The sequence below is a fragment of the Homo sapiens genome, chromosome 13 (genome assembly GCF_000001405.40).
Source record: "Homo sapiens chromosome 13, GRCh38.p14 Primary Assembly".
Lineage (NCBI taxonomy): Eukaryota > Metazoa > Chordata > Mammalia > Primates > Hominidae > Homo > Homo sapiens.
Window position 1 is genome coordinate 110,876,415 of NC_000013.11, and position 14,525 is coordinate 110,890,939.

The 14,525-nt window shown below is 40.1% G+C and overlaps 1 protein-coding gene across 3 annotated transcripts in view; it reads right to left on the reverse strand.

Annotated features, from left to right (window-relative positions):
- Positions 1 to 2,125: 2,125 nt before the first annotated feature.
- The window catches only part of ANKRD10 (ankyrin repeat domain 10), a 36,530-nt gene continuing 24,130 nt past the window's right edge, over positions 2,126 to 14,525 (reverse strand). Inside the window, exons 6-7 of one of the 3 annotated variants that reach the window (NR_104587.2) lie at positions 7,316 to 7,379; positions 2,126 to 3,698 (exon numbers count right to left, since the gene is read on the reverse strand). Coding sequence is in view for 2 of the 3 variants with exons in the window: in NM_017664.4 (NP_060134.2) it covers positions 3,223 to 3,698; positions 7,284 to 7,379 (572 nt within the window). In the remaining variant the exon portion in view is untranslated. Of the gene's footprint in view, positions 3,699 to 7,138; positions 7,380 to 14,525 lie in introns of all 3 variants that reach the window. The other 2 variants (NM_017664.4, XM_024449380.2) reach the window with 2 other exon arrangements.

Sequence of the window (14,525 nt, forward strand, 5' to 3'; positions counted from 1 at the left end):
AAAGGTCCATTCTAAGTGAAAGATGGACTCTACAGGAACGATACAAGAAGCTCACTGATGTGGATCCTGATTCAACATTGCAACTAGCCTTTAAGAAACTACTGTTACTGAATGGAAGGTCTTGACTGCGAGTTGTCCAGGTTCCTGGTGCAGCTGAATAAAGAATGGAACCAAACACACAAAGCAACAAAAGAAGTAAACAACGAAAGAAGCAAAAAAAGCGCAGATTTATTGTAGCAAAAGTACCCTCCAGAGTGGGAGCCAACTTGAGCCAGGGTCAAGAGTGCCCCCTCTAGGGTTTTTACTAAGCTAAAAGAATTTGGTAACACCCCTAGGTGACCTTTAGAGGCCTCCAATTGGCTGCACCCTATGAAAGATTAGCCTGCAACCAATCAGAGGCTGAAGTGGAGACTGTCTTGTTATCACAGGTAGGAGGCTGTGGTCTGAGTGCTGCCTAATCTTGCCTAGAACTGGCTGTACCTGCTGTTCTTTTGCTTATGCCTTAGCCCTTGGTTACCCTAACTTCCTATTCTCCTGCCCCACGACCACTACAGAGTTTGGGCATGGTATCAAGTACTCACAATTAACTGCAAAGACGATTCAAATATCCCTTTTTCCAATTACCTATCTGTGTAAGGCCAGATTTTCTCCACATACTTCAACCAAAAATTTATTTAGGTATTCTATCTCTGAGTAATGTTTTATAGTTTTCAGTGTAGAGGTCTTGAACATCTTTTGTTAAGATATTTTCATAGGTATGCCATGGTTTGGGTGTCACTGTAAATGGGCTTTATTTCATTTTCCAATTGTTTCTACTAGTACAAGAGAATGCATGCATGGGAAAGTATCTGCAGGCCAAAAAGGCTAAGACTCAGTGAGCTATTCTTGCAGTCAGTATAAACGTCAATTCTGGTGGACACAGAAATACCTAAGCTTATTCTCAATGTTAAAATGACAACCATATTTTTTAATAGAGCATTTTTTCTTCAAGTCCTGAAAAAAAAAACCCCAAAAAACTTGTCTCAAATAAATACAAAATACACAGACTAACGCACCTTCACATACCCACCACCCAGATTTAACATCGGCCTGCACCAGTTGTGTTTGATCCTTGTCTCCACTCACCAGGGATCATGGGCTCCACTCATATTTTTATGGTTTGAAGCAAATTCCAGGCATGAAAGCAATTCCATCATCACCATTTCCTTATGTATCACTAAATAAGAACTGAATATACTGGTGTAAATGACTCTAAACTAGAATATGACAAACTACTTCAATCATCCACTCAAGTGTGGATGTTGCCCTACTCTAGGTTCTATGCAACATTTTTGTTCCTAAGCAGTCATCTTCTGTCCAAAAATTCAAGACTAATCAAAAGTATGTTTACTGTGTTTTCAGAGATTCACAACGTTTTTCAGCAAATAATTAAGTCACTATAGAACATCTGGAATACCTTAGAAAACAGTCCAAACGGGATGGCATCAAGTTTCATCTCTCTTAAAAACTCAGTAGTGTGGGTGGCTTCTTGGATCAGTCTGAGGCCAAATCTCAGTTCTAAGCTTGATTACTAGTGTCTGCCATAGGATGGGAGGCGGTGGCCTGGACAGCGCCATGCATTCTCTTCCTGTTCTCACTGTAATTTTTGCAAAACTTCCAAAGCATAATGCTCCCTCATTGTGGTCTATTAAGTTTTTACAAGAATATGCATGATGCAGTGAATGTTTTAAATTGCATATGTAGGCATGCCAGAATGGCTATATTGGTGCTATTTATAACTGTAATTCATATTCCTAAAAGGCTTACATTAATTAACAGTTGCTAAAACCAAAGAAGTTTAGAACATTATGGTTGCTGTCTTTTATGAAAATAAGCACCCAGGCACAATACTGAACTGACATGCAATTCATCCTTCCTCCACAGAGGTTCAGTACCAACGGTGCCCATAAAACTAGAGTAGAAACTCAAAAATAGAAAAAACACCGTATGAAGAGTGTCAGAAGAGTCAAGTAAAATCTTATAAGCAAAATGAAACAATAGTAAACTTCTCTTCCCTTCCCATTCCTTCCACAGATATCCACACCCCGCCGGCCCCCAAGCCCAGAGAGAAACCCCAGGGACACACTGAGTGTGAGAGTTTTTTATTCAATTTGTGAAGGACAGTTTTAGAACAAAATGTTAGTAACACTCTTAGAACACTGGTTTGTTCATTTGACATTTTATCTGCACCAATTTTTATTACAAAAATCAAAAAAGTAAAAATTCATTACAATATTTGCAGAGTATAACCACTAGTTGCCTAGACAAAAGCTAATTTCTACAAAATCAAAAACTTAATGCAGTTTTATTAAGAGAGTCAAAATTCTCTCAGTTAACTGGATATACATAGTGGTATATATCTTAAAGCAGAAAACCCCAAAAAACAAAAACAAGGAAAAAAGAAAATACATGTCAACAGTCAGTTAAATATTTTGACCTGACAGTTTCTACAAATAGTGATTTCCACTACATATAAAGGAATCTGTTACATGTGGTAAAACTTCCAGAGACCAAGTAGGAAGTGTGGAATAAAAACAATAAATCCAAACGCAGCCCCAGGCTGGGCCTGTTTTCCATGAAGCCCAAGGCAGTGATCTTCATCATTAAGGAGGGACCACTGTGTCCACAACTAAAACCTTCAACCACATGGTGATCTGCAAAGCTTCATTGAAAAAGACAAACGTTCTCTTCTTCACACAAATCACTGCAGAAATCTTTGTAAGGCTGTACCTTGCATAGGGAAATAGCTGTGTTCCGTCAAATTCTACAGAAAAGAGTGGAAGCAAGCTTTTTAAAATGATGCCCATGTGCAAAGAGATAAATTACCAGGCACCTGATTTACCACCCCAATTTATCTTGATCATATAATCTTTTAACAAAAAGAAAAATGGCAATATCTGGTGACAGTATTAAAAAGACAATGTTGAGATTGGCATCAGAAAAACTCCAAAAGTGCACCTTATAAAAAGGACACCTCACTGTAGAAACATCTATGCACTTAGTAAGCCCTACTCATGCACAAACAAGCAGTTGCTGGGAACTTGTCGAAGTTTACTTTTTCAGAAAGTTGAAGTATATAAAAAACGTACAAGTTGTGACATTCGTTCAAGTTGCTGCTACATGGGTATTCTGAGCTGGCTACCAGGAAGGACTCCTGCGTTTCCGAGAGCCAGGTCAGCGTCTCTAGGAGCCGTGGTGCAGGTGCATGGTGCCCAGCACGGCACTGTCGTACCGCTCCTGCACCTTCACGGACTTGGAATGCTCGACCACACTGTTCAGTTCTGGGATGCTTTCAGCAGTGTCCCCAAACCCGTGGTAGTGTCCATAGTACAGGTTATCCCCAATGTCTTCCACCCAGGAAGGCCTACTGGCTATGCAGCTACTTGGACTCCCGTTCAGGTGCAGAGAACCGCACAACTCAGGGTTAGCTCTCAGGGTCTTCTCTGGCTCCTCAGTCCCACTAATGCAGAGAGAACCCTGGCTACTCGGAAACGGCTGTCCTGGGGCTAATCCACTGCTAATTCCGTTAGTTCCTGTCAAGCACTGGCCATTCCTGCTTTCCATCCCACTGAGCGGGGTCGTGGAGGGGAAGTCCAAATGTCCATTGATGACACATCCATTTGTCAATGTATTCGATACGGAGCTACTGTTTTTCATATCTGCATTAAGAAATACACCTGTCACCAAAATTCAGAACCAATGAGGGAGGAGAAACTATAAAATGCTTCACTGCCATTACAATTTTAAAGAATTTTAGTTTCTTTTTTTTCCTTTTAAACCAGTTCTTTTTTCAAAGTAAAATCAATGTGCATAAGTAGACTTACTATTAAAACGTTAACAGTAGTATTTGCCTGGTAAGATAGGAAAATCATGTGTGTGTCAGTAGCATCAGGTAGCTCAACTGAAAAATGTAAGCTGACAAATACACTGCATGAAAAATACCAACACAGTCCTGAAAAGCCATCAATAAAGTGCTCTCATTTTAAGACTACTTTCGAGAGCGGTTTTTAAAAAATCGCCCCTGAAAAGGTCCATCAGAACTGAGTGTAAAGTGTTCTACAGAGGGTTCCAACAGAACACAAACTTCTCTAGTTCTCAAGCGAAAATGGAAAAAAAGGTAAATGAAGTGAATTAAGGAAGCTCTTTGAACTATGTATGACAGCATCACATGAGGTTTTTAAAAAATCTTCTCTCCTCATAAATCAGGTAGGGACTCTTGACCCTCTCCTAAGTCTCAAATCAGGGCTATTAAAAGGAACCACTGTTTTTATTTTTTTCAGTAGCACAGAAATCTACGTAGTACTTCTGCCAAATGCCACATGAGAGCAGTGGCAGAATACAGAGAGACCGGCGACCACAGCAAGGAACTGTAACGGCCAACAGTCCTCAGGCATGCAGGCCTGGGCCAACAGCACAACGCAGAGTCGCTTCTTCTCAGTCCAGCAATTAAAATGACCATGGCAGCCAGGGTTTCATTAGGTTACTTTCAAAAACCACCTTTGCTGGAAAAAATGTTGGTAGTTTAATCTGCATATACAGACATCTATCAGGAGGGAGACGTCTTATGGGATAAAACGTCCATCATGGAACATCTGGGTACACCAGGACAGGCAATGACAAGTTATTCTTCTGTATACTGGAACTTGAGAATCAGTAATATTCATGTTCACAGGAATTCACGTAACAGTATAAGGGATGATCTAAAATTATCTCTAACTCGGTAATACTAGATTTTATCTCAATGTTCTTCACTACCAAAGCAAAGCATGTTATTAAATCTAGAAGAGCTCAGTTCTAATAACTTTTAGAATGAGGACGCAGCTTAAATACATCCGATTACCCTAACATGTCACACACCATGGGACTCTTCCCATAGAGGGCTTCCCCTCCATCTCACCTCCTGTAAACCTCTGACAGAGGCTTCTGATATGTCCTGCAAGTCTTCCTGCCAATAAAGGATCACGGCTTCTTCAGTGAATGGAAACATTATCTAAATATTCCATTAATCATCCTTTTTTTTTATATTTAAGCAACATAGTTTAATAATTGCTATAAATTCTTCACAGGACAATAGATTTTTTTTCCCCCAAATTAAATGATAGCTTTTCTATTTGGCTAAAATCCTAGACTAGAAAACAAGTGTTTCAATAGAAAATAAAAACTGAAATAAAACAAGTTATTCCCAGGGGAAATTCATATGAATTTTTTCAAAAACAAAGTATAAACAATGTTTTCCTAGGTGACAAAACTCAAATATGATGGCAACCTTGACAGTTGTTTATTGTGTGTATAGTTTTTACTAAGAGAATAAAGTAGGTAGAATTTTACTTCAGTGCCCAGTTAATCTGTTCAATTATTTAATCTCAAAATCAAGGCTGGTTGGTAAGCTCATGTTGTTACAGAGAATCTAATAAAACTAAGCATAACAACAGTGGGCACCTCAGACCTACTGAGGCAGAGCACGCACATCACGACCTCCAACGCTCTCCCTTCCTCTGCTCCCAGCTGCCAGCCAAGACCCGCACTTCCCTTCTGTCTGCCCGGCCAGCCCTCGGATCCCACGAACATCCAAACACAATGCTGGGGATGAGGTTTCAGACAAGATCCTACTTCTCTTCCAGCCAACCCCATAGAGAAGATCAGGATTTAGAAGCAAGCACCCTCCTATCCGAGCCCTTTCCAGGGGTGGGGACACTTGACCCTCCCGAGTCTCAAACTAGGGGCATTTAAAATGCAAAGATAGCTGTACACAGTTGTTCAAAAATGTAGAATTCTTGGAAATAATTTTGGCAGAACAAAAATTTGAAGTTACTCAAGTGTTTAAAGGAGAGCAGCCTGACTTTTGGTCTGATTCTCAAAGGACTGTGAAGGCAGCTCCCTCAAGCTTCCAGTGGACGTGGAGTGCCATGTCCCACAAGGAAAGCCTCGAGTAATCTCTAGTGATTTAACACATTGCTTACTCAGTCAGAGTGTCATAAATCAAATGATGGGAAACACAGGGTGTATGGACTCGGCATCTGGTAGACGGGATGGGCTGGGTTTTTCAAAAGTATGTTCCAGCTTGGATAAAGTTTAACAAATAACTAATGTCTGAGGAATAAAAGGTGGCCACTTCTGCCTATTCAAAAGAAGGTAGCAAGGTCACTTTTAAAAAAAGCAGGATTTGAGTTTTGTTATGGATCTTTAGCTAAGGTCAAATAGCCCCTGACTACAGAAAACCTATTATTTTAAATATACTAACTGATCTGAATTTCTCTACTGGGAAGAAGGTGACCACAGCAATTCTGTAGCTTCCAGAAAGATGAACACATTTTCTTTTAAGTTTAGTGAACACAAATGATTTTTTTCATGTGGGTTTGGGAAACAATATACATACTCTTCTTTTTTTCATCCCCAGTGAAGAATTTGCATAAAGACATAATAAACTTAAAAAAAATCTACTTCTAAATATTCATACATGTTAAGAGAATGGCTAAAAATGTTTTTGTAGTCACCTGAATAAAAAAGCAATAGCTAAATGGACAAATCATTTTAGATATTCTAAATGCTATAAGAACTGAGCTGCTTCTGCTTCTTAAAAATTGGAAACAGGAATACTGTTTTAATATACTAAAAACATTAATGTATAAAATGTGTGTTGTGAAACACAGTGTTTACCATTTTAACAGACTCAGAATGAAGACCACAGAAACCAGAGCAACCAAGTCCTGGGTAAAAGATTCCATGCTGGAGTGACTGGGCTGAGTCAGAACCACATTTACTAGTTTCTCAGTGTTTACTGCTAGTCGTCCTCTTTGTGGTATATTGGTTTGAAAATATTAACTGTAGCATGTTCGGTATATTCACCCAAAGGCCATATGTCAGAAAATTAAAAATGCAAACCTCATTAAAAATAAGCAAGGCACATTAAGCAATAGCTTCAAATCAGAATAAAGATTGCACTTACATTTTTCATGTCCACAGAATATACCCAAAACACTTCTTGTATCTACAAACTTGCCCAAGATATGCAAATTATAGTATAACATTTTTAAAAAGACACTGGACAACAAAGTGCAAAACATCTGAGAAAAACTTATGTTAGAAATAATATGCATACTGATTCCTGCAACGACAGGGGGTCTGCATTGCTGACACAGTATATATTTCTATTTCTTTTGGTCCAACAGAACCACTCTCCTGCTGTTTGGTGTCTTCAACCATTGGATTGTTGTTGCAGCTAACAGGAAACTGTCCACTCCCACCTGTTACAACAGCAAACTCCCTATCAACGTGCATTTTGTCAGCATCGTCTTCTGTGTCGCCATTCGTGAGTGGCACGGCAGAATCCAAGCTTTGAGCTGCACAGAAAACAAAGACTATTTCAGATTCCTTTGTCTGTAACAAGATAAGTGTTCAGACACACAGTTTACATTATTTTGTGTGAGCACTGAACACTTTAAACAATCACATAAAAAAAAATCGACAGGTCACTAATGAGCTTAGCACACAACTGAAAAACTTTTCCACAATCAAAAAGATTTCTTGACATGTGCAGATTTTAAGGTCATGGAATTTCAGATGCCTATTATAGATTTACTTGATGGCAAAAATTCTAATTTTCTGGACATTTAGAAGACATGAAGTGGTTATATAACCTGGAAACAATTCCAAACTCCATTTTCAAATTCAGCAGATTTTTTTTTAATACTAAGACAATTCTTAAATTTACATACAATTAAAACAATCCTGATTTTTTAAAAAAATCCACTATTTCCATTAACAAAAAAAATAATGTAAAGGCTAAGAGACTCAAGACTAGTCTGTCAGCACTGTCCCAGAGTGGCATTTGATCTGAGCACCAAAATACAGTAAAATAATTACACCAAAATACAGAAAGCGTTAGAAATGTGAAGCTAAAGCTACACGGGCACTTCACTTCCAAGATGACCATTCTCTGTACTGTGGAGATGCGAATGCCCCATGTCATACCCACGCTGCACAAGCACCTCCGCCTCTGAATCCTAGCAAGACTCACTTCTTACAACAAGCAGCTCCATGTGTCTGAACGGCTTCTCGTGTTTAAGAATGTTTTTACCAAAAAGGATTCTAACAAATCACTGTTACACCTTGCTTTATTCATTTACCATGGCATAAATGTCCTATCAGTTAATTTCAAAACAATCTTTCCTCTGCCCTATGGCTGTATTACGATTCGCCTAACCAAATTCCCTGCAGCTGTCTGGGCTGCTTCCCTTTTCCTTCCTATCATGAATACCACAATTAACATACTCATAAATGCATTTTTATGTGTATTTCTGGTTAACTCAGATACTTAGAATTATTTCTGGGCCAAAGAATATACACCACAAATAGCAACTTTCAGTGCTAAATACCTCCTTCATATAAACATTTAAAAATAGGGAGAATGGAACTTTGCAGCTTGAATTAGCTCTAGTTTTAGAGGCCCACGAGTCATTTTTGATTATACTGTATATATGATATCTGGATTATTCTACAAAGATGCTAATGTACAGAATGAGAAACCCGATTTCTGAAATTAGTATGGGGGAGAGAAACAGAACAGTGTGATTTGTGTAGTTGGGGGGATGGGGGGTAGTCAGAAGTCTGATTAGGTAGGAGGCCAAAAGCATTCTTCAAATACAAGTGCTTTAAGACCAGAGGCATTCAATGGTGGATTTTAGTCTTATCCATTCAAAGCTTTAAAAAATCTTCCACAGGCCAGGCTCCACTTTCACTATGACTCAGGCATGCACTTTTAAGAGATCAGTGTGTAAGCAGGGCATCTTTTGAAAAAAAGAGAGAGAAAAAAAAAAGGGCTGGGCATGGTGGCTCATGCCTGTAATCCCAGCACTTTGGGAGGCCGAGGCGGGTGGATCACGAGGTCAAGAGATCGAGACCGTCCTGGCCAACATGCTGAATAAATACTACTAAAAATACAAACATTAGCCAGGCGTGGTGGCGAGTGCCTGTAGTCCCAGCTACTGGGGAGGCTGAGGCAGGAGAATCACTAGAACCCAGGAGGCGGAGGTTGCATTGAACAGAGATTGCGCCACTGCCCTCCAGCCTGGTGACAGAGCGAGACTCCATCTAAAAAAAAAGAAAAAAAGAAAGAAAGAAAAAGAAAAAAGAATGGGAGAGGGGGGTGGTGGAAGAGCAGATCCCCCAAGTGTGCCAAAGTCGTCTCAACCTCCAGGAGCCTTCATGGCACGCAGACACAGAGAACCTGCAGCCAAGAGCGGGTCAACGTTTGCTCCTCCCACAGGCTGCAATCCTGCAAAGCCACACACGAACACGGTTTGTACAAAAGAGTGGACTTTGATGGGAATACAATGCAGACAGCTTAAAATACCTACACACTCAATTGGCGTTCAGATGCCAATGTTCCCCGGATAAAGTGGCAACTAGGGGTTACCTGCAATTTCACACCTCTGAAAAGCAGGTTAGAAAACCGCAACAGAGAAGAGCTTCACGAAAGCTGGGGTGTTTGTCTTCTCCTTCACTAGGCCCAGTACCTAGAATAGTACTCACATCAGCAGATGAAGCCCACCCACTAGCCAGGAGAAACAAAAACACAAGGTAAACAAAAACAAATGATCAGTAGCTGGCATAGCCTGTAATACAACCTGAGGAGTCACAACCATCCAGGCAGGCCTGGCCATGCGAGGTGCAGGGACATGCACCCTGAAGGCAGAGGTGCCACTAGGGGCCGGAAGAGCCGCGTTAAGGGCAGCCCAGGGAAGAGGCAGCGGGAAACACACTAGTCTCCCAGCAACAATTAATCCTGTAACTATAAGGCTCACAGTGACCAGGGACCTCTCAGAAACTGCTCCATTGAGTAGATGCATCTTTTGTTAATGCAGATGGTTTCTCTAATAAAGCAGGATAAGAATGAAAGGCTTCCATATTTTACCAATCAAGATTCTATTGTGGGAATCATTCCAACAGAACCTTAGAATTTCATTCCATCTCCATAGATACAGCCTCTCTATACGGTGTAGTTCCCACAACCAGCTGTCACAGAGCCTTGGATAATGCTGTTTCACGAGTGCCACCTTCTTCATTCCTAGTAGCTATACATAAGTTAATTGGCTGGTAGAGATATTAAGCCCGCAATTATCTCTTTTAATTATGTTGTAAGCCATGAAATTAAAACTGGCCTCTCAAAATTTTAAGAACATTGGATTTGGACCTGTAAGACCCTACCACCTGTGGCATTTTCCCCCACACCTGTTGCCATTGCTGAAGGAATCATTTAATTACACCTTGCATTTGAGAAGGGTGGCCTGTACAGACATTTCAGAAAAACATGTCTTCCAAGGTCATCAGTTTACTCAGTTTGGGAAAGGAAGCACTATACTTTCCTATCTTAATATTGATTCTTAAAGTTACACAATGATTGAATGCTTCTGAAAATGTTAGTATGACCACTTTTTTCAAAGGGTCTTCACCTGCTGACTGTAAAAGCAGGTGTCAGGTGTCTGTTGGGAAGACAGGCTTCTAGTACACCTGAGACACAACGTTCAGGATGGAAACCTATCTAGGACTAGCTCAAAACCTCCAGCCTCCCTGCTCAGAGATACAGCCACAAGCCAGGTGTGGTCACTGCCTGCCCTCCTAAGTGAGAACTAGAGCCAGTAGAGCACGCCTCTGGCTGAGAAACCCACATTCCTGACCCTGGGGGACACACAGAGATGCTCCACTTGGGGCTGATGCCCAGGGCAACTAAACGGTCTGCATTTGTATTTTCATCTGAAATTTGGGGGTTGCACAAAACCCCTAAAGCCAGTTCCCAGTAACTCTGTAACTGTATGAGCTATTCAGGATCAAGCAGCTTGAAACCATGAAAAAAGTCTTAGTTTCAAGTCCGGGAAGGTCTGCTGCATTACAGAAGTAATGCAATTGGACACCAAGGTCGTGCCACTACAGAGGCTTATGGGAGTGCTGACCAGGTGGAGTGAAGACACTCCAGTGCACCACTCATACTGACACACAGGAAAACAGGACTGTAATTGCCAGGCATGCCTGCAGATACATGTAAGGCTTAGGAAAAATGCCTGATCACAACTTTAATCTTTACATAAAAAACCAAAAAGCACTCTATAAAGTCATACTTTGGGATATGAAGTGCTCCAATCAGCCAGCAGGACATTACTCCCAAGACCCAAGCCATACTGGTTATATTCCCCAAGACTAAATCAGGAGACATTTTACAAGTCAGAAACTGCCAAGTAGTTTCACCCAATGAACTTAGGCAAAGCTTGAGATCCTGACCTAGATTAGTCATCTACCTTTTACTGTGCCTCTAGGTGCTGTGTGGAAGGGTCCCAGGTGTTGACCCATAACCCTTGAGAGGTGGCCAAATGGCCCAGGACCCCTCCCGCCTGTGGCCTTTCCACTGAACTGAGTGCATCCTGCTGCTGCTTCCACTGGGGAAGCCTCAATGTCCTCTCATTAAGGCAGCAAGGAAAGACACTCTGCCTTCCTGGTTTCCCACCAGCCATTACCTGGAACTATTCTTTGTTCTGCTGTAGAGCACATTTTACTCAACTTTTTAAGGTCCTGTTAAAACCAAATTGTTTTTCTATTATGAGGTGACCTTTCGCGGGACCCGCCAGGGCCCAGATTCCAGCAGTGCAGAGGGTTGGGATGACTCCAGGCAGCAGGAAGCAGCAGCGACAAAGGACAGAGAAGGGAACTGAGTGCTCTGGAAAGACCGGGGGGGACTGGGGGTTTGGCTCAAATAATACAAAAGCGGCTTGTGATCAAGTGTGCCAGTCTTCGTTTTGCTTCCCACTGGAGTGTCCACAACTGTGCTGAGGACAACTCAGGCCCATGAGGTTTGCTCAAATGGAGACTTTTAACAGTGGAAAACGCAGACACTGTCTGGACTGGAAGTGTAATTCAGACTGTATTTCAAGACGTCACATCTTCAGGGATCAAGAAAAAACAATCACTCCTTATTTGAACACAATTAGGTAGGTGTGTTCTATCATCCTGGCCACATTTTTATAAACAAATATACTGCAAATTTGAAAACAGTGAGGACGTCAGGAGTTAAAGTGCTATAATATGTAACTAAACTAGAAGGAACTAAATTACAAATTTACTCCTGGGAGGCATTTTATTTCCTCTCAAGTTTCAAGCAATAAACATCTATCATTTAACAAACCAGCTGGTCATATCTGCCCTCCTTTACCAAGTCTTTAACCCTGCTCAACACGAACAGCTAAGGACAAAAGGCAGAGATCCTTTATCCAGGTTAAATCCACTCTGGGAAAGTGTTAAAACTTTCCACCGGTAATTTTACCTTTAAATCATCATGTTGTAGATACTTTTTTCTGTAAGGTGTTTTTATATTCAATACCTTCACAGTATGAATGAGATTCTAAGATCAGTAATATGCCTATGTGATTAAGACCGAGCTGTGAAGTCAGTTTGACACTTGAGATCTGCTGTCACCACAGCCTACTTCTGGGGCAAATGTCCCAATTGTGAAATTGAAGTTATTGGGTCAGTTTTTAAACTCACTGTGTTCCCCTGCTTCTTCCCCACGACTCTAGAGCTCCATCCAAAACAATTATCAATCAGCAAAATCAAGTTTTCACTCATGGAAGGGACTGGCATTCTTTTCTAACCAAGATCATTGAAAAACGACCACAGTTTCCAAGGAGTACATATAAAAATAATTGTATTGGGTTATTCCTGAAGATTAACCAAGAACGCTAGCAAACCTGAACTGAGTTTTATACAGTGGTGCAGCTGGAGTCCTGAAGCCCATGCATCATACCATCAGAGCAAATGATTGATAAAAACAACAACAAAAAAATTAAAGACTGATACTTCCTTGCACCATCTAAAATGAACAAAATCCCACACTGAGGAAAGTATTATCCCAAGATACTTTCCATCAAAACAGACTGCTTAAGTAACTGTGGATTTTATTTCACACTCCAGAGTTCATGTCCACACCTATTATGTCTTACGTTCTGACTAAACTGCATTTGACACAGATGCAAATAATTTTATGAAAGTATGACTTCTTGTAGCATAACTTCCTTCCAAGACAGTTAATATTCAAGCAATACAAAAGGCCAAGTCTTTCTTCTTCACTTAAGATCTTTTACATCAACAGCTTCCAAAAGAAAATTCCTCCAATTTAAAATACTTGAAAGTAGTTTACTAAAAGCAGACACTACTTTTTGTGGGGAAGAATGGTTAACATTCAGACTCAGGATTCCAAAGTGTTTTGGCTTTTTCTTTTTCTTTTTTAAAGGGTGAATTTTACAGGGATCTCCTTAAGAGGTGACTTAGCCAGAAAACTTTCTGGAAGTAATTACTTTTGTAAATATAAATTCCACACTAAAAGCATCAATATTTGTAACTCTTAAATTCTAGGAAAACAGAACGCACTAAGTTTTATTGGTAAGATACAAGTTACGCAGCCAAGATATTATCCCTGGCACCTGTAACTTTTTTTGTTTTTAAAGCCAAACAAAACAAAAAACCCAGCTTAAACTCTTCTAAATATTTTTATATGTGAAGTTACTCAAAGTATTTTATATACATGTGTTAAATGAGGAAAAAAGAATTTATCATTTCTTTTACTCTGGCATGAGAACCAAAAACCTAATAAAATAATTCAGATTAAGCAAAACTTAAAACACACATTTAAACAAAATCAAAACAAGATGCCAGAAATTACAACGAAAACTAAAGCAACATATCTTTAATTCAAAACTAAAAAACTGGTCAGTTAATATGGAAATAATTATATATCTATTGAAACCAAGAACAATTTCATGTAGAACATTCAGGTAATTGGCAGAAAAAAAAATCCTGTTTTAATGACCAAGAATGACTCCCAATACCCGACATCAGCACTCTCAGTATGTAATGGTAAAAGGGGGGCAAAAAATCACCTTTTCCCATAGGGAAACGAGTGGTGGGAGTGCAGGTGAGCTAAAGATGCCCATCTATGCTCACACAGACACAAAAAAATATAAACACACTCTTGTGACGAGTGTGGCAAATCTAAGGACTGTCAACTACATAAAAGACAGAACCATCAGAAGTTCCAGGAAATTAGTAAAGTCATGGTCAGTATACAAATTAGGAAAACCAAGGATGAGCAGCTTTGAAGTAATGTGCATCTTGGCTGAAATATTTCAACTGTGATAATCACAGAAACATCAGTCATGTACTGTGTACCTGCAACAGTGGCTCAACCTGTTAGGTCTACGTATTACCTGCAACACTTAAGCAGAAGTGCCGGCTCCAACCATATTTTTGTCTAAATTAGCACCCTCGGGCTTGGGACCAGGAATGTATAGTTTGGGAAGGCTGCATGGTGAGTTTAATGTGCAAAATGTGAACTTCTAATCACTGGTCAACCAAAACAAATCCTCCTTCTAAAGGAAGAAAATAAAACCCCCAAAGTCAGCAGGACTCTTTAAACCAAATTTATGTAGTTAACGAGGATTAGG